The sequence below is a fragment of the Homo sapiens genome, chromosome 5, assembly GCF_000001405.40.
Source record: "Homo sapiens chromosome 5, GRCh38.p14 Primary Assembly".
In the NCBI taxonomy this organism is placed as follows: Eukaryota; Metazoa; Chordata; class Mammalia; order Primates; family Hominidae; genus Homo; species Homo sapiens.
The window spans coordinates 23,438,422-23,458,488 of NC_000005.10; the positions used below are offsets into that span (position 1 = coordinate 23,438,422).

Here is a 20,067-nt window from a genome sequence, read left to right on the forward strand (position 1 = left end):
AGTTCTCCTGCATGGCTGTCCTTGCATCTATTAAATTCTTTATTTTCTGCAATACTACAGTCTCAGTCAATTGATTTTTGTGCAGTGTGCAGGAAGAACCCCTTGGGTGATTACATATTTGTACAATTATATTTTTAAATACATACAGCAACTCATATTTCCCACAGTGTTTCTGTTTCTTAAATTATTTTTACCATGTTTGCCCTTTAAATTTTCTCTCAAAAACGTATGTGTAACTTTTCCACGAGACATAAAACATTAATATATAACCTTTTTGATTACTTTCCAGTAGTGCCAATAAAAATGCACACGTCTTGCTTACTCTTGCCCACTGTCCCCATGTGATCAGCATTAGTGAGCCACATTATGAAGTAGGATAATGATTACAGAATCACAAGTGTATTGAACCTCTTATTTTGAATAAATAGACCCTATAATTTATCTAAAATTTAGACCTATAATGTCTAAATTTATAATATTTTAACCCGAATACACTATTGCCCTATCAGATATGCTAGCAGAGGAAATAGTCCATTGTTATTTTCTGTTTATTGATTAGAATAGAGTGATGATTTGGTTATGTGCTGTGTTCAGATATAGCAAAGTTTCTCAGTAAACAGATCTGGAGATGAAAATTTGCACATAATAATTTTATTAAGGAGAGTTCTCAGGATTAATACCTATTGAGAAATAAAAAAAATTAAGATTGAGAAAAAGAACTTGAACTGTGAAACAGTCTCAAGGAGGCCTTGGCCAATCTCTTGGGCAGCTCTGCTAAAATGGTTCTTTAGAATTCTGCTTTGATATAGGGGCACAAGCATTTATACTATCATATCAATAGCCATTTGATAAGGAGTGTCCTAGAGAAAGAAGGTTTCTTCTGGTAAGGCAGCTCCCTTTGCCCAAGGACAATTCATAAGTCTCAAGGCTCAGGAGAAAGACATCAGGCAGCAATACTCTCAGGGGGCGGACAAATGAAAGCCTCAGAACTGAAGGGTGTATCTTGGAGGCACAAAAGAGCATCCATTATAGTCCAACCTTTTGCTTTCTTCAGCTCCACATACTTTATGTAATACATTTTAGAAACTCTTCATTCAAGATTTGCACTGGTCATATTTCTTGGGGTAAATTGCAACAGGAAGTTTAGTGGAAAAAACTTCAACATCACCACTGTAGCTGGTCTTGAAGACATAATTTGCTTCTCTCTCTCTCTTTTTTTTTCTTTTTTAAAAACCAGTTCTAGATTCCCGTCAATTTTAACAAGGATCTTCACTGGCTTAGGGTCTTATTCGTAAGTTGACCAAGAAGTTATTCACTCCCAAGGGGGTTTGAACTCCAGGTCTTCATGCTTCCCTCAGTCTACTGTACATGAGCATTAAACAATAAAATTGGGTAAGAAAATGCCAAGAGATATCTCAGGGAGGACATGAGTATCAAGCATGTTGTTTTCTGACCTCACTGCATAACATTTCTATCTCTTTATGATGATCAAGATAATTACTACTACTAAGATTGTGACACCTTCTCTTGATTATTGGTATTTTGACAACAAGTCCTGAAGTATACCTACAACAGCCAAGGATTGAAGTTTAAAGGGACTCTTGCTGTGTACTCTGGTGAAAGTCTTCTTCCACAGGAACCCAGATCTCTGAGGAAAAAAAAAAAGAAATAAGTAAAAACCTCTTAAATGGGTAGCTGGAAATAAAAATAAGTTCAGTTACTTACTGAGAACCACTCTCAGCTATCAAATCCATATATCTCAACTTTTTTATCCTAGCACCATATGAGAGCTATTGATTTAGGGGATATATTGCGTTTTGAAATACAGTGTTCTACCTTACCAGAGTATTATCCTTAAACAGGCACATCAGTTGTGCTTTTCATGGACTGTTACATTTATATTTCTCTCTCTGATTAACAGCTTCTGGGTGGGGTGCATATGTGTGTATGTGTGTGTGCGTATGTGTGTATAACAGAAGTAGTTGATGCCACAGTAAACTACACTGATACACTGTTTTGCTCTAAAGTAGGTTCTGAGGCTGTGCTAGTCCTATATCAACTTGTAATTCCTTGAATGATAATGCTTATTGAGACCCTGAAGGCAGGAACTGAACCTGGGATAGGTTTTGATGTTTTCACCTCTGGTGTCAAAGGACTCCACTGTAATTAACTTGCTACTATAGAGTACATGTGGTCTCTTCATGTATGAGGGCATATCATGGGTTCTGAATTGGACTTTTATGTTTGAATATTGGACATTCTGAAGCCATAGTAGCTAGGTCAGCCTTAGTGAGTTGGAATCTATGTCACTAGGTTCATTCATGACCACCCTTGCCACTATAACAACCTTATTATTATGCACTTATCCTTTCAGGACTAAAGGGGCCATTGAGACTTTCTTACATCAAATGGCTGAGTCATTGTTTCTGTCTGGTTGTTTAGTGCATTGTCAATGGCACATGCCTCTTGTTGGGTATTATCATATACTACAAAGATCATATATCATGTCCACTCCTGTAGGTTAATTGACATGTGGTTCCCCAGACATTCTTGTTCTTAGTCTCATTTTTTTTTTGCAGACTTTCCAAAAACCTGCTAAGCTATTTGCCACACCCCATGATTCTGCATACATTCTGTCACTAGTCTGCTTCTCTTTCCATATAACGTGAATGACCAAAGATTTGCTCATTAGGAGAATTTCTCCTCTCCCAACTTTCAGGACAAACTATGAGTGGACCTCTGATGAAACTGCAGCAAGGTTTTATTAGGTTCTAACCAATATCGAGTCTAATCCACCCAAAGTCTGACAAAGTTAGAAGTTACCAAAACTAATTCAAGAAAAAATAGAAAACCTGAATAAAACTTACATCCGTAAAAAAGTTTGAAATTAAAAATCTTTCCCAAAGCATAATCAACCTCTCAAGAAAAGAACAACAGCAACAACAACAACAACAACAAAACATAAGGCCAGCCCAGATGGCTTCTCTGGTAAATTTCATCAAATATTTAAAGAAGAAAAAATACCATATCTACTCAAACGCTTCTAGAGAACAGAAGAGAAGGGGACAGTGTTAATCACATTTCCAAGAGGTTAGTGTATTCCAAAACCAAACAAAAAATCACAAGAAAAGTAATTCATAGTGCAATAACCTTATAAACATAAATGCGTAAAATCTTAAGATATTAGCCAATTATATTCAGCATAATATAAGAATGATATACTATACTGGCCGGGCGTGTAGCTCATGCCTGTAATCCCAGCACTTTCGGGGGCCGAGGTGGGCGGATCACCAGGTCAGGAGATTGAGACCATCCTAGCTAACATGGTGAAATCTCGTCTCTACTAAAAATACAAAAAAATTAGCTGGGCATGGTGGCATGTGCCTGTAGTCCCAGCTACTCAGGCGGCTGAGGCAGGAGAATCACTTGAACCCAGGAGGGGGAGGTTGCAGTGAGCTGAGATCGTGCCGCTGCACTCCAGCCTGGTGACAGAGCAAGACTCTGTCAAAAAAAAAAAAAAGAAAGAAACAAATAAAGAATTATATACTATACCAAATGGGGTTAATTCAAGAACTGAACAGGTAATTTAATGTCTATAAATTTATTAGTATGGTGTATTAAGAGAGTGAAGCACAAAAATACACATAATCATCTTAAAAGACACAAAAAAATGATAATTGAAGAAAATCTAACACTGCTTCATAGTAAAAACTCTCAAAGTTAAGAAATAGAAGTGAACTTTCTCAACTAGATAAAGGACACATACCACAAACAAACAAAAAAATGACAATTAATATCATGTTTAGTTGTGAAAGGCTGAAAACCCCTTTTCCTATTATAGAGAAAAAGTAAAAAATGTCTACTCCTACCATTCTATTAAATGTCATGCTAAGAGTCTAGCCAGTGTTATATGGCAAAAATAAAATGATAAAAATGAAATTAAATAACAAGCATGCATAGTAATAAGGAGAAGTAAGATAGTTATTTTTTGCAAATGACATAATCCTATAGATAGAAAATCCTAAGGAATACATACACTCAGAAAGAAAACAAAGAAATACAGTTTGCAAAAATCACAGGATACAAAATTAATGTACAATAATGCATTTTGGAATTCTAGCAATAAGAGACATAAAAATAAAATCTCAGAAAAAAGCTTTATTCACATTTACATTAGAAGCTACAATAAAAATATATTTAAAACAACAATTAAAAACTACAAAATATTGCTGAAAGTACAGAAGACCTAAGCAAATGATGAGGTATCTCATGTTCATGGAATGACTCAGAATTGTTAAGATGAGAACTCTTCTCAAATTGTTCTGTAGATTACATGAACTTCCTATCAAAATCTCAGCATGTTATTTTATAATAGAAAATGACAAGGTGATTTTAAAAATTATGTGGAAATGTAAAAGATTGAGCCTAGCCAAAACCACTTTGAAAAAAAAATTGGAGGACTTATACCACCTTAAGTCTGAATACACTGTACAATTTGAATAATAAAGGTAGCGTGTTATTACCAAAATTATAATCAAATAGGTCCATGAGTATAACTGAGAGTCCAGAAATAAAGGCTTACCTTTTCAGTCAATTGATTTTCTACGAAGATGCCAAGTTAATTTAAGGGCAAAAAAAAAAAAAAATAGACATTACAAAAAATTTGTGCTGGGAAAATTAGATGTCTATAAACAAATAAGCAAAAAATACAAACAATACAGAAACCAAAGCAAAACTTACATTAAAAAAAACTCAAAATTAATCATAGAGCTAGATGTCAATGATAAAACTATAAAAAATACATAAGAGAACATAGGTGAAAAAATCCTATGGCTTTTGGTTAAGTAGAATTTTCATATATGTCAACAAAAACAAGATCCATGAAAGGAAAATGTTGATAAATCATACACATGGATATGGTTTGGCTCTGTCGCCACTGAAATCTTATCTGGAATTGTAATCCCCAGGTGTTAAGGGAGGGACCTGGTGAGAGGTGACTGAATCATGGGGGAGGTTCACCCATGCTGTTCTCGTGATAGGGAGTTCTCGTGATAGGGAGTTCTCAGGAGATCTGATGGTTTAAAAGTGGCAGTTTTTCCTGCTCTCTCTCTTTCTCCTGCTGCCTTGTGAAGACAGTAGTTGCTTCCCCTTTGCCTTCCGCCATGACTGGAAGTTTCCTGAGGTCTCCCAGCCATGCAGAACTGTGAGTTCATTTAATCTCTTTCCTTTATAAATTACCCTGTCTCAGTAGCATCTTTTTCTTTTTTCTTTTCTTTTTTCTTTTTTTTTTTTTGAAACCGAGTCTTGCCTTGTCGCCCAGGCTAGAGTGCAGTGGCGCGATCTTGGCTCACTGAAACTTCCTCCTCCCAGGTTCAAACGATTCTCCTGCCTCAGCCTCGTGAGTAACTGGGACTACAGGCGCCCGCCACCACGCCCAGATGTTTTTGTATTTTTAGTAGAGAGGGGGTTTCACAATGTTGGTCAGGCTGGTCTTCAACCCCTGACCTCAAGCAATCCACTCCCCTCGGCCTCCCAAAGTGCTGGGATAACAGGCATGAGCCACTGCGCTCAGCCTCAGTAGTATCTTTATAGCAGTGTGAAAATGGACTAAAACACATATCAAAAGTAAAAATTTAAGATAATAAAAATGCAAGCCATGTCCTGGGAAATTATCTTTACAAAGTATATATCTGACAAAAGATTTGTATCCAGAATACATAAAAGACTCAAAGATCAACAATAAGAAAATCAACAACCAAATGAAAAACTGGCCAAAGATTTCAACAAGCACTTCACCAGAGTAGATCTACGGATGACTATTAAATATGCATGTGCAAAGTTCCTCAACGTCATTAGTCATTTGAAAAATGTAGACCCAGAGTTCGATACCAGCATTTATACATATACACACACGCACTAAGATAGCTACAAGTTTTTAAAAAGACAAATATGTGAAGAAAGCGTATCCTGTACAATTCGATTCTTATAAACTATACTTAGGCCAGGCGTGGTGGCTCAGGCCTGTAACCCCAGGACTTTGGGAGGCCGAGGTGGGCGGATCACGGTGTCAGTTCAAGACTAGCCTGGCCAACATAGTGAAACCCCTTCTCTATTAAAAATACAAAAAATTAGCTGGGTGTGGTGGCATGGGTTTGTAATCCCAGCTACTCGGGAGGCTGAGGCAGGAGAATCACTTGAACCTAGGAGGCGGAGGTTGCAGTGAGCCGAGATTGTGCCACTGCACTCCAGCCTGGGCGACAGTGCAAGACTCCGTCACAAAAATAAATAAATAAAATAAACTATGTGTTTTAGACAATGAAACATAGTTATAGTGGTTGAAAGCAGATCATTAGTTTTCTGGAGGAATCTGGAACGGAGTAAGAAGGAAGTAATAAAAGGGTAGGAGGAAAAGTTTGTAGGTGGTTGCTATGTTTATTATTTTGATGGGAATAATTGTTTCACCTGTATATACATGTGTAAAAAAATGTCAAGTTGTGGCCAGGCGGGTGGCTCACGCCTGTAATTCCAGCTACTCAGGAGGCTGAGGCAGGAGAATCGCTTGAACTCAGGAGGCGGAGGTTGCAGTGAACTGAGATGGCGTCACTACACTCCAGCCTGGGCAACAGAGTGAGACTCCTTCTCAAAAAAAAAAAAAAAATCAAGCTGTAATTTTAAATATATGTGTTACATTGTATGTCAAATATAACTACTACAGCTTTCAATAAAAATAAGATATTTTATATATTGCATTTTCATTTCACTGAATCAATGTTGCTATTTATTGCAGCATGTACAATAATTTTTTAATAAAAAAGGAAAATATATGCTATTAAATTTGTCATCTATCTTCACTGAAGAATTAGAAGAATGTTTAAACTGTGAAATCTATGGAAGAGCACATGAAATTTAAAATCTGATCAATAAGTTTGTTCAAATGATTGTTTCATTGTCACTATTGAAAATTAAAAAATTGCTTTCATTTTCCTCAAGCTCTTGGGACTAGATATAGAATTACTTCTAGAATATATATTAGTGAGCAATTTCTTCTGATTTTTATTCTTTTAGGCAAAAATATGTTCACTGATATTAAATTTATTATTCTGTATCATGAATATCAGATGAAGCATGAAAATGAACATGAATAGACAAGCCAAGTTTCTTTTGAATGTTGAATAAGAGTGTGTTAATAATAATGTAACTACCTTTCCACTTGCATTATTTGCTGATACATATATCAGGTTGCAAATGGTTATAAACAGAGAATTTGGTAGGAAAGGCATTTAAAGAATTGGTACAGAAATGTGTCATGTGATTTTCATTGAAAATAGAACAAATATGATGCAATCTAGGGGTGATTAGTTGTTCTTACATTCCAATTGTGTGCTTCAAAAGTAATTGTAGCACAGAGCAGTGTGTTACAAATACTGGCTATGAAAAGGAAATTATTAGCTACATTTATTATTACTCTCCAGCCAAATAAAAACAAGATGTCACACAAGAGATCTGAGAATCCTGCTGTCACTGAAGACGTTCAAATGGAACAACAAAATACAACTATTACATGCTTGCAGATAATTCTCAACCAAACTTAAAGACAACCAATGTTAACTTGCAAGGAAAGTAGATTTGTTTTTAACTTGAAAAACCATCTCAATAATATACCAAATAAACATTCTTTGAGTGTACAAGGGTTTTCTACATGATACTTGATATAAAGGTCTTTCTTATGCAGATAATATGTTGAAATTAATGTTTTTTGTACATTAATTTCAATGGAAAATAATATTCAGTTAGAAATTTAGTAGAATTTTGTGATTTATCTTGCAAGTTTAGTGCATTTCTTTATGGTGACATTTTCAGATTCAAGATTATAAGAACATATTTTTTTCTCAAGTAAATTTGCTTAGCAACATATGTTTGAGACATAATAAGAAATTTATGTGTGTGCGTATGTGTAGGTGTGCTCTTGTTATCTATTGCTCCGTAACAAACAATCTATATCTTGTATCTTAAAACAATAACTGTTTATTTTGCTTAGCAATCTGTCATCTGTGCAAGGCTTAATGGGGATAGCTCATCTCTCCTCCACATGTTGTGACCATAGCCGGCAAGTTTGTGATAGCTTTTGGTTTCTCTCCATGTGGACTTCTCATGGGAAGCTTGGCCTTCTTACAGCATCATGGCTGGATTCCAAGAACGAATTCCTTAGACTTAGAAAGTTGAAACTGCTGGGTTGTTTGTTTGTTTTGCTTTTTTAATGTCTGGACAGGAAATTGGCACAGCACAGTGTCGCTTCTCCCGTATTCTATTGGCCAAGCGGCCATAGAGGCCTAGACTGACGGGGAAGATATAAACCCCTCTCTCAATGTGAAGAGTGGAGAAGAACCTTAGGGCCATATTTAGAAACTTCTGCAATGTGATTGTAACCATCTCAAGCCTGTTTCTGATAATATCGTAAAAGCACCTTCATCAAGTATTGTACACTGCTTTTGATTGCTTCAAGGGTAGAACCCTAACACCTTACCCACTACAAGTCCTGAAGCTGAGGGTGTAAGGATTTAATTTGATTATGTTGGGGCACAGAAAATGATACCTCAAAATACAATGCTTTGGCATTTTGAGTGTTAGAATTAAAGAAAATTAAAAGGTCTCAGAAATATGCCTCAGAACCAAAGTCTCTCTAAGACCTTCCCCTTCCCATCTCTGATCCTTTCTTTCCTGAAGCACATGGAGGAATTCTTTCTGAAAAAATAAATTTCTTATCTGACTAAAAAAAGCCTGTCTCTAAAAGAAATGCAATTGTCTTAAGACCCTTTTCCTAGTAATCTCATCAAATAATCAGGAAAGAATTACCACAGCGAAGAGAAGAAGCTAGGAGTCCTCACCATGACCAGACAGACTTTTCATCTCTTCCTCGAAGGGCTGCTCCAAGGGTTTACTTGAGGGCCTTTATTTTCACAATAAGATGACCTTTGTTCAAAGCAAAGTTCTGCCACTCACCTTCCTGCCACCTCCCCCAGACCTCAGGGAAATTTTGTGCCAGGTCATTATTCTTTGAGCTCATTCTTTTTTCCCTAAAATACATTTACTTCTATACCTCTCCTGTTCCCTTGTCCTAAGAAGAAGAACCGATAAACATCTGGACCTCATTGGGTTATTGGGTAATTATACTCATGTAATTCCTCCATGTTATGTTTGGTAAATATATTTTGCATATTTTTTCTCCTATTAATCTGCCTATTGCCACTTCATTTTTGGTGAGTCTTCATAGAACAAAGGGGAAGCTGTCTGTCTTTGACCCTACTGTTATCAGAAATAAATGTAATCTTATAAGTTGATGCCTCTGTATGGGCAAAGCTAGCCAAATTTTGTTTTTTCCTCCATCATACTCAGATGAATGTGAATTTCTATTTATTATTATGTATTTTCAATATAATGGATCAGAAGAACAATCTAGAAGTTGATAGACTTAAGGATATTAACTTTGCCCCATTTAATATTAAGCTATAAAAAGTGTTAAATTGAATTTAGCCTAAAGTTGCTTCCTTATATATTTTAAGATTGACATAAAGATTTCTTTGTAAAAGCAAACTATAGCCAATCTGAATGTACAAACAACCTGTACCCTACTCTTGTAGCAATTACCAAGTTTCAGGCAATTAAAGGAAGCCAACTGTTTAAACCAAGTTCAAATAAGGCAAACGCCAAGTTGTAACCAATCGAGCTGTTTCTGTATCTCATTTCCATTTATTTACATCATTTTTCTTTTTTTATCCATAAATCCTCTTTGACTCAGCATCAGTGGTACTGGAAAGGGGTCCTGATCCAGACCCCAAAAGAGGGTTATTGGATCTCATGCAAGAAAAAATTTGGAGGAGAATCCATAAAGTGAAAGCAAGTTTATTAAGAAATTAAAGGAATAAAAGATTGGCTGCTCCATAGGCAGAGCAGTAGCTTGGGCTGCTGGACTAAGGATATTTATACTTAGTTCTTGATTATATGTTAAACAAGGGGTAAATTACTCATGAGTTTTCTGGGAAAGGGGTAGGCAATTCCTGGAACTGTGGGTTCCTCCCCTTTTTAAACCATACTGTGTAGCTTCCTGACCTTGTCATGGCGTTTGTAAACTGTCATGGTGCTGGTGGGAGTGTCTTTTCGCATGCTGATGCATTATAATTAGCATATAATGGGCAGTAAGGATGACCAGAAGTGACTTTCCTTGCCATCATGGTTTTGGTGGGATTTACCTGGCTTCTTTAGTGCAATCTGTCTTATCAGCAAGGTCTTTATGATGTGTATTTTGTGCTGACCTCCTATCTCATCCTGTAACTTAGAATGCCTATCCTCCTGGAAGTGCAGCCCAGTAGGTCTCAGCCTTATTTCACCCAGGCCTTATTCAAGATGGTGTCATTCTGGTTCAAATGCTTATGACACCAGTGCCAGAGTAGCTTTGACTCTCTTCTGGTTGAAGGGCTACCCAATTTGCAAATCATTCTTTATGCAATTAAATTGTTAAATTAAATTTGTCTAAAGTGTTTCTTCTAACAAAAGTAACAGCTAGCTTTTTGATACTAAACTTGTAATGATAATTCATTGTTTTTGCTAAAATTTTAGGTTTGCATTTACATTCTATGCAAAGAAGCTGCTAATTTTAGACATCTTTGCTTTATCTTTTTCCAAAAAGTTTGTTAAACATTATTGTGCAGATGTCACTATATTAGAAATGTACACAACTATTTGGTGCCTTATTGATACCATGAGAGCCTTCTTTTGTTTATTTACTTACACTGAACAACCTAACCACTCATATAGAGACTAATATGAAGGAAGAAGTCATATATAGATTCCTTCATGATAGCAAAGCCCAGACAGTAAATTGAGCTCTACCCCAGATTAAATATAAATTTCTTCCCTTCATTAAAGTTCTCATAGAGATATCTTAATCAAAGTAAAATTTTTCTCCATTTTTGGAATGTCCTAAATAAAAATAATGCAAAGTACAGCATCTTTATTCTTTTTATTAAACCTTCTTAATCTCTACAGATTGAACTCAGCCATTACTCTACGAGGAAGAGAAAGAGTGACTCAAGTTTCCTTCTTAAACTACTACAGATTTGACAGTCAAATCTCCTTCAGGGATTCAGAAACTGAATAAAGTTAGTTGGAATTGCTGCATATGTTGCCAATTAAACCTTTTCATGTCCCAGTCCTCTAAAGTTACAAAGAATAAATAGGACAGCTAAGAGTATCATCTTATTTGAGACAATTTTTTAAAATATTTAGTAATATAGCATGTACCAACTCTCCTTGCTGCCAGTCATATATATTTTCCATGTATGTATGCCAGTCATAATTAATGTCCAAGTATGTGTGTACTGTGTGTGTGAGAGTGTATATGTCCGTGTGTATACATAATTTCCATATGGATATATAGATATATAGGTTTCCATATCATTTCCAAGTCGTAAGACTATGTCATTCGGTTTGGTGTGTACCAGTTGTGCACTCAAAAATGGTTGGGAGGAGATGCAACTAACCACTTTAAATTTGTTAGAGAATTCTGAAAGGATCAGGAGAGAGCTAGGAGACAGTAACCTTGGTACTGCATGTCAGTAATGGGCAGTGATTCATAAGAAGTTAATAGTAGCTCTCTAGGGCAAAGACTTTGAAGTTGGGTGAAACAAAAATAGGAAGTGCAGTCACTGAAAATGGCAGAGCAGGTAGTTCCAAGAACTTGTCCCATCGCAGAAACAACATGCACACACACACAAAAAGCAAAAATCAAAAACTGTCAATCAACTTTGTTGAAACTGAAAAATAGTCAAAGGTTCAAAGGTTTAGAGCAAGCAAGTGCTGAATCAAGAATCAGTGGATTTAGAAAATAAGTTTTGCAGCAGTTTAGCTTTCCTTTGTCCCTGCCCCCAACCCCAGCTTGGCAGTAGCCTTAAATACAGCGATCTGTGTTTCCAGTCCGTGGTTCCAGAGGGAGCAGAGCAGACCTTGTTCTCAAAGAATTGCATATTTGTTTTGACCAGTTTTGGGGCTACCGGAAAGACAGAAGCAAGAAGCTCGTCTTTGTTTCACCTAATTTGGAAGTCTCTCAGAGCAGAAAACTAGCTACTAGGCAGAGGGCATCACTCAAAAATAGTGAAAGGGAAATGAACAATTTGCTGCTGCCTGGGGCAAATGGTTACTACGGAGCCAAATGAGATATGCTGAAAACGTGGGATGAGGATGAGAGACTCTTAGAATTAGGGAGTTATAAAGCACTCTTCTGTACTAAAAATTTAGTAAACCACAGAAAGCCTAGGAAAGCATACATGCTTAGAAAAGACCTAGGCTTTCATTTGTGGCAGATCTTTAGGCTCAATGCAAGCAGGAAGCAAAGGCTAAGACAGATATGTAGAGGCCCTGGCTGAAAGCTGAAAACGTATCCCAACACTGTTTTTTAAATCATCATTATTATTATTGTCTCCGATGTTCAAAGAAATCTCTGAGCAAACACTATTTGTCCACAAGCTAAAGAAACAGATTTTAGAGACCGTATGTGAGGAATACGGTCATTTTAACAGTTATAAAAATAACTAAACAAGCAAACAACTACATCCCAGGCCAAGGGTAAAAACAACAACAAAACACTGAACAAGGGGATCATTTTGATTTCCAGAGTTAGCACATTACACTGTTTAGAAAGTCCTCTTTCTTAACAAGAACAACAAAATGCAAAGTGTTTGAAGAAACAAGATAAAATGATCCTTTCACAGGATAAATTAATAGAAAACGTCCCTGCAGAAGCAGACTTTGGGCTTACTAGATAAAGACTTCAAATCAACTGTTTCCTTAAAAAAGTTAAACAAAAAAAATGCCTGCTCTTCAAAAGTTACACATAGACTTACCACATGACCCATCACTTCTATGTATCACTCCTATGAATCACTCCTATGTATCAACCCAAAAGAATCAAAAACAGGTATTCAAAGAAGTACTTGTACAAAGATATTTATGGCAGCATTATTTACAATAGCAAAATAGTGGAAGTAACTCATGTCCATCATTAGAAGAATAATAATTTGGCATATACATACAATGAAATTCAACTACAAAAAGGAATGAAGTTCTGATACTTGATACAGCATGGGTGAACAATGAAAATATGCTAACAAAATAAGTAAAAAAGGTCACTTGTATGTGAACCCCCAAAATTTAAGACAGGTCTCAGTTAATTTACACACTTTATTTTGCCAAGGCTGAAGACGTGCGCCCATGACATAGCCTCAGGAGGTCCTGATGACATGTGCCCAAGGTGGTCAGAACACAGTTTGATTTTATACATTTTAGGGAGACATGAGACATCAATTAAGATGGGACAACTTGAAGCAAAGGCTGGAAGACTTGAAGTAGGGAGGAGGCTTCCAGGTGTAGATAAGAGAAAAATGGTTGCCTTCTTTTGAGTTTCTGATTATCCACTGCAAAGGAGGCAATCAGATATGCATTGATCTCAGTGAGCAGAGGGGTGACTTTGAATAGAACGGGAGGCAGGTTTGCCCTAAGCAGTTCCCAGCTTTACTTTTCCTTTTAACTTAGTGATTTTGGGGCCCCAAGATTTATTTTCCTTTCACAATTCCTTTGACATGAGGTATCCAGAGTAATTAATCTTTAGACAGATTGGTAGTCCTCAGAGCTTGAGTGAAGAGGAAGAAAGTGGGAATGAGTGCTTAATAAGTAGATTTTCTTTTTAGGTGATAAAAACGTTTTTGGAGTATTAAAAGTGCTAGTTGCACACCATTCTGAAAATAATAAGTGCCACTAAATTGTGTTCTTTCATAGGTTTTGTTATATTAATTTCACTTTAGTGACAGAAATATTTAAGAAAAAAGTGATTGGGAGATTTCTGCTACCAAAGAAGAGTACTGTAGGAAGATGAAGGCCAATATTTGTTTCAAGAACCAGAAAACTATTTCACATAAATGACAAGAATTGTGGGTTTTTTTGTGGTATCCAAGATCTGTAGAAATGATCATGACTTGTTGAACTAAAATTAAAAAGAAAAAGAAACTTTCTGGATTGAGCTAATTGTTATTGGCTAGTTTTTCCAACCTGGGGACGCTGGTCACACCTGGGCAGGAGCTAAAGGTCTAGCTTAGTTGAGGCAGAGGTCCGTTGCCAGGGGACAGATGCCAGCAAAGCTCTAAGTGTTAGAGGAGGGCTGGAGAAAAAAACTAAAATCTCAAGGGCTTTCAAGCATACTACCAAGATTATCAGTGGTAGTTTCCTGAGTTCTGGAGCACAGAGAAGACTTAAGAGTGGCCAATCTTTCAAACTGGCAGAATAAAATCTCCAGTAGTCATTAGATGCCCAGAAAACAAAGACATGCTAAGAGTGGTGCTTCCAACGTATTCACTGTTGTATCCCTTGTAAAATATTTGCTGGAATTTGCAGCAGTGTGTGGTGACAAGTGGAGAAATGGCCTGGGAATATCACAGGGTATCACTGAATCTTCCTTCATGGCTGAGGTGAGGGTGCCTTCATACTCACAGTCAAAAGTCTAGGTGGGTACCACTCTAGAAAGAACAGCAAACCAGAAAATTCTTACTAAGCCTGCAATCCATTCCAATCCAGCTCCATATTTGATGGGATTGGAATGATAACTAGATTGTATTGCCTAACAGTTAAGGTCCTAGACATTGTAGTGTGAACAATAGGGGGAGAAAAACATAAGAATTGGAAAAGAAGGGTAAAAACTGTTATTAATCACAGAGTATGTGATGGTACACTATGTAAAATTCAAAATAATTTAAAGACAAATGTTAGAATCCGAAAGTGAATTTTCTAGGGTTGCTGGCGTAATGACCATATGACAAAATGCACATTTCTAAGTAAAGAATGGCTGAAATATTAAAACAAAAATTAGAAAATATTCTTAAGTGGATTATAGTGAAAATAATGTACTGAAATAAATGGCATAAAGCTAAAGAAGTGCTTATGGAAAAATTCATGGCCATAAAAGCTATATATTTTCAAAAAACATAGGCTAAAATTAAATTACTTAAGATTTCACCATAAGAAACTAAGCAAAAAACAGCAAAACATGTTTATAGAAAGTAGAAGAAAATAAATAATAAAGATAAGAACAGACCAATTAAATTGAATACAAATTGAAAAGATATATTTATAGCAGCATCAAAAATATAACATGCTGAGAAATAAATCCAAGAAAACATATTTAGGGCTCTATCTTGAGAACTATAAAACTCAACAAATATAAGAATACTTAAAGAAATTGAGTATATATCACACAAATAGATGGAAAGACTTGATATTTTAAAGATGGAAATGATCTATAAATTAGAGTACAGTATATGCAATCATTATCAAAATGCCAGAAATATACAGTTTGTATGTCTGTGTGTAAATTGATGAGCTGATTCCTAAATTTGTATGGTGTTTTAGAAGGCAAACATTTTCATGGCAGCCTCAAAGTAGAACAAAGCAGAAAGACTCACAATAACAAATATCAAACTGAGTAATGGAAAAGAATTGAAAGTCTATAAATAGATCAATATACATGTGTTTACCTGATTTATCAAAAAGACAACACTCTGTTACAGTGGGGAAAAGCCAATCTTTTTGGTACATTGTGTTAGGTATATTGGCTATGAATGTGGACAAACACATTTCTGATTGTCTAGCAGTTCTACTCCTGAGTGAATGCTGAATAGAAATGGAAGCATATTTATACATACACACAGCACATGCACACCCACACATACACACAACATTGTCTAAATGTATTTATCGCAGCTTCATTCATGATAAACAAAGAAAAGAAAGCTACTCAAATGCTTATTTATAGCATGTAGATAGAGCTACATTTATAGAATCTGACACTAAGCATTAATGAAAATAATGTAAAACCACATGGAGAATGAATCTTATAAAAACAATATTGAGAGGAAAAACACCCAGACAGAAGACTACTGACCCTCTGATTTCATTCACAGAAAGGACAAAGGCAGGCAAAATCAATCTGGGCTGTTAGAGGTCAGGAAAATCGTTACCCCTGGAAGGTAGAATGTGGGAAAGGGCACAAGGTGAACCAACTGTTGTGGGTTATGTTCTATTTCTTGATCTCAATGCTAGTTTCCCAGGTGTGCTCAGTGTGTTAAAATTCACTGGTCTGTTCATTGAGGATATATGCACTTTTTTGTATGTATATTATACTTCCGTAAAAGGTTATACAAATAAAAATGATTGGTCAATTTTCCTGCAAGTAGATTTCTCGATACTTTCAAATTTTCCTTCTGTATGTGCAGAAACCCAATTGGAGAAAAACACATATTATTTTTTTACTAAAAGTTCTCAAATGGAGTGATTTTGTACCAAAGGGAACATATGGTCATGTTTAAGTCAGTTTTTGATTGTCTCTACTAGAGGGGTATGAGGGAGGGAAATATTGGTAACTCTTGAGTAGAGGCCAGGAATGTGGTTCAGCATCCTGAAATGCACAGAACAACCCCCACAAAAAAAGAATTATTTGACCCAGAATGTCAATACACAAAGGTTGAGTAACCTTGACTTAAATGAGATGGACTTTACTAAATGCATGTTAAGTAAAGCAATGAAGTTTTCTTTAACTCTATTCTATTGCTGATGGTAATTCCCAGGATGCTATCTTTTAAGACACCCTGTATGTCACATGCTTTTTGCCATATGCTTCTTGACAAAATCTTGCTTCTCCTCAGCTTTTAATTCCCTGATTATTAATTAACCTTCACGACAGCAAGTTAATTGCAAATATGCACTAATACTATATTTTTTCCTTCTTCTTCTTACCCAACTTTATCTGCAGAAGATATTCTTTCCTTAGGCTGAAAAGAAAGCCAAATTAAGAAGGAAAACAAGTAAAATTTTGGTTAAGATAAGATAAATAGACATGTAGGCTATTTTTAGCTTCCAACCACCTGGATGACCAAAATCTCTTAAAACTCTTCTCAGTTCTACTCTCCTAGTTCCATCTCCATGAGAGAAAAAACAAAAACAAACAAACAAAAAACTTAAAAGTTTCAGGCAAGATTTTCCTGAATCTAGCAAAATTTTTTCTTTTTGAAGTTTGTGAGAAGTATTTTTGTATTAAAAATTTAAATTATTTGAGGACATTTCCAGGAAAAATGTCTAAATATCAGTCAAAACTAGGCACTTCCCCGCTCAGTTTTAAGTATTAAGAAAGCTCTTCTAGTCACAAAACTATCTATCTTTTTAATTTCACCTATCACAGTCTCGGATTCTCCTCACTCAGCCTACTAAGGCTATGCAGTAGATTACAATAGATTACAAGTTGTGGTGATTTTTAGTGCTATTTGATGTCAATTAACTTAAAAGACCAGAGATTCTTACAAATCACTTTCCTTTTTACCACGTCATAAATTCCTGGAGATGATTTTATGAAAGAAAGTATAATCCAGTATGAATAAAAGTACACATTTATTACTTGTTATGAAAATATTCTAAACTACAATTATAAACTCACTTGTATGCTGTTTGGTTTGGAGAATAAGCAGAAGATTTATGAGACACACAACATCAGCAAAGGGATTATGGAGAGAGGAAGAGCAAATGTTCATTCCCCCCTTAGGTTGTCCACCAAACTACCTGGAACCAGGAATGCAGTGACATGAGTGACATATATATGAGAAGTGATTTCAATCACTTCTCAAGCTGGCACAGGCCATTGTTCTACATAGTAACCATTTTCTATAATTTTTCTGATGCAGTTAATTTTTGATGTTTTTCTAATAGGATTGTGGTAAATAGTTTGCAAAACCACTTGCAATTGGTAATTTCCAGGCTGTGGGGAGAGATGTGGTACTTACACCTATGAGGCATAGCTTAGATAGAGAAGGGCCTCCGAAATCAGTTCTCACTGGACATGGAAGAGCCTGTTGGGAAACATGGGGCAGCCACTGGGGCTGACTAAAGTACTGGGAGCCTGCTTCCCTGGAAGATGCAACTGACATGGTGATGGACCTGGCAGGTGGGGAAGGCACTTGAGATAAAGGAAAAGCACTGGTGTGACCACCAGATCTCCCAGCACAACCTCCAACAAAATTTGCAGCTTGACAGTCTGTGGAAACATCTTACTGAATTAGATCTTGAGTTGTAGGATTCTTTTCAGAGGTTCACAACCAATTTCGAGCACTTCCAGGACACTGAGTAATTGATTTAAAAAGCTGAGGTTCTGTGGCATATAAGTGGACCACTCACAAAGTTATACCTACAATTAGATGTCCTAGCAAGGTAGCTGGAAGAAAGATAAGCAAACCTTGTTGACTGGCAACAATACTTCACAGCGAAATGTTCTTAGTCTTTCTCAAACCATTCAATTCCTCCAAGGGAGCACTAATCATCTGCAGAGCCAGCTGGAGGAATTGAAGGCATTTGACATTACCACAAGAAACCAGAAGAAACATTGCTAGTAGAAACTGGTGCACAACTACTCAGATCTATGCCACGTATCTGCCTATTCATATTTCTGCCCTATTCATATTTCTCTTTATAAATAATGAGAAAACATCTCTGTAAATAAGATTAGTTGCAGAGGTCACTGGGAATTGTTGAGAAGTTTCAGTGAAAAACTTGGAAGAAAATTACAGCCAGAAAAAGTCAAAAGGTTTTTTTGGTGTCAAGACTTGTTTAGTCTACTGGTATGACATGACCAAAGTCAGGAAGATTGCTGATTTTGCTCTCTGAGAGAAGAATTACCTCTGGGTTTATTTTCTGTTCATGGTGCCTCACAAGGAACAACTCTGTGTCACAAAAGTAGGCAGTGGCGTGAATGGTAATGACAATTGGACAGGTGATGTCCTGGACTTTGGGTAATATTCTCTTCTTATTGTATGAGGTCACAGAGAAGAATACTGCTATGCTCACAAAGTGATACTGAATTCCCTTATCTTTGTAAGCAGGCAAGCTGTTTGGGAATTTTTCTTCATTTCGCTATTAATTGCCTTTTGCTCTGAGAAGAAGCCATTAGATAGGATATTTTTACTCCTTATTCTTTTAGTATTTATGAAAGGCAGAGACAACATTTTTCCATTCTCACCATTAACAGGCTGATTTTCTGGTCCCAGGTGATAACAAACACCTGATTAATTACCACCTTCATCAGTATAAACTGCATTTGCCATGTAAGAATGAAGATTTATTCATTGAGTCATGCCCTGCCTTGAAACCACAGCTAGTGCCATATTTATTTACAATAATCACTCTACTCAGTCCCCTGTGTGACTTTCCTTTAGTTATAAGAAAAAGTAAATATTTATTAAAAAATATGTAAAAATATATCACTTATTCTGAGAATGAAAAGTCATTCAGGACCTATTTTGTTAGTAGAAAAGTAATTACGTGTTTTGCCATTAAGAGTAATGACAAACCCACAATAACTTTTGCATCAACCTAATAAACCAACTTGAGGACCTACCTGATTCTTCCTTCTCTCTCTTTCACTAAGCAGTTCTGTTTCTCTAGATGACTTTACTATCGTATTCACTCATTTAGAACAAGCAATTCGTCTTACTTTCTAGTTAAAGAAAAAGTTTATCTCATCAGCTGAGCTAATTACCATGATCCTTCCCAAACAGACCAATTATTCCAGACCTTGTGGTTTTCTAGGCCCCATTGTTTATCTTGGTCTAGTCAGTAACCAAGCCTGATCTGCTTCTTGAGACCTTGGCATTTGGGGAAAGAACCTTTTCTCAGAAAACTTTAGATATGGTAAACTCCACCTGTGATATGTTCAGTCAGCTAGGACACAAAGAAGCATCCTGTGTCCAAATGTAGCTGAAGATCTGTGTGTGTGTGACACAAATATCCACAGCTGAATGAATTTTTTAAAGTGCAATTCACCAACCAAGGTCTAAGTGTGAAATTAGCATACATTTATATCAATGAATTTTAATAAAAGTGCTTGTATACAAGAGATGTAAGCTGGTAACTTCCTTCATAAGCTTAATTATTCTATAATTACTTTGGTGGGAAAGTAAAGTATTTTCTCTGTGTTGTAAAAGAGGA

At 36.1% G+C, this 20,067-nt stretch overlaps 1 long non-coding RNA gene across 1 annotated transcript; it reads right to left on the minus strand.

Annotated features, from left to right (window-relative positions):
- Positions 1 to 629: 629 nt before the first annotated feature.
- Positions 630 to 18,845, minus strand: LOC124901171 (uncharacterized). Its single transcript, XR_007059122.1, has 2 exons — positions 18,760 to 18,845; positions 630 to 1,648 (listed from the first exon to the last, which is right to left on the minus strand). It is a non-coding gene; the product is annotated as an uncharacterized LOC124901171 (long non-coding RNA).
- Between the last annotated feature and the right edge of the window lie 1,222 nt (positions 18,846 to 20,067).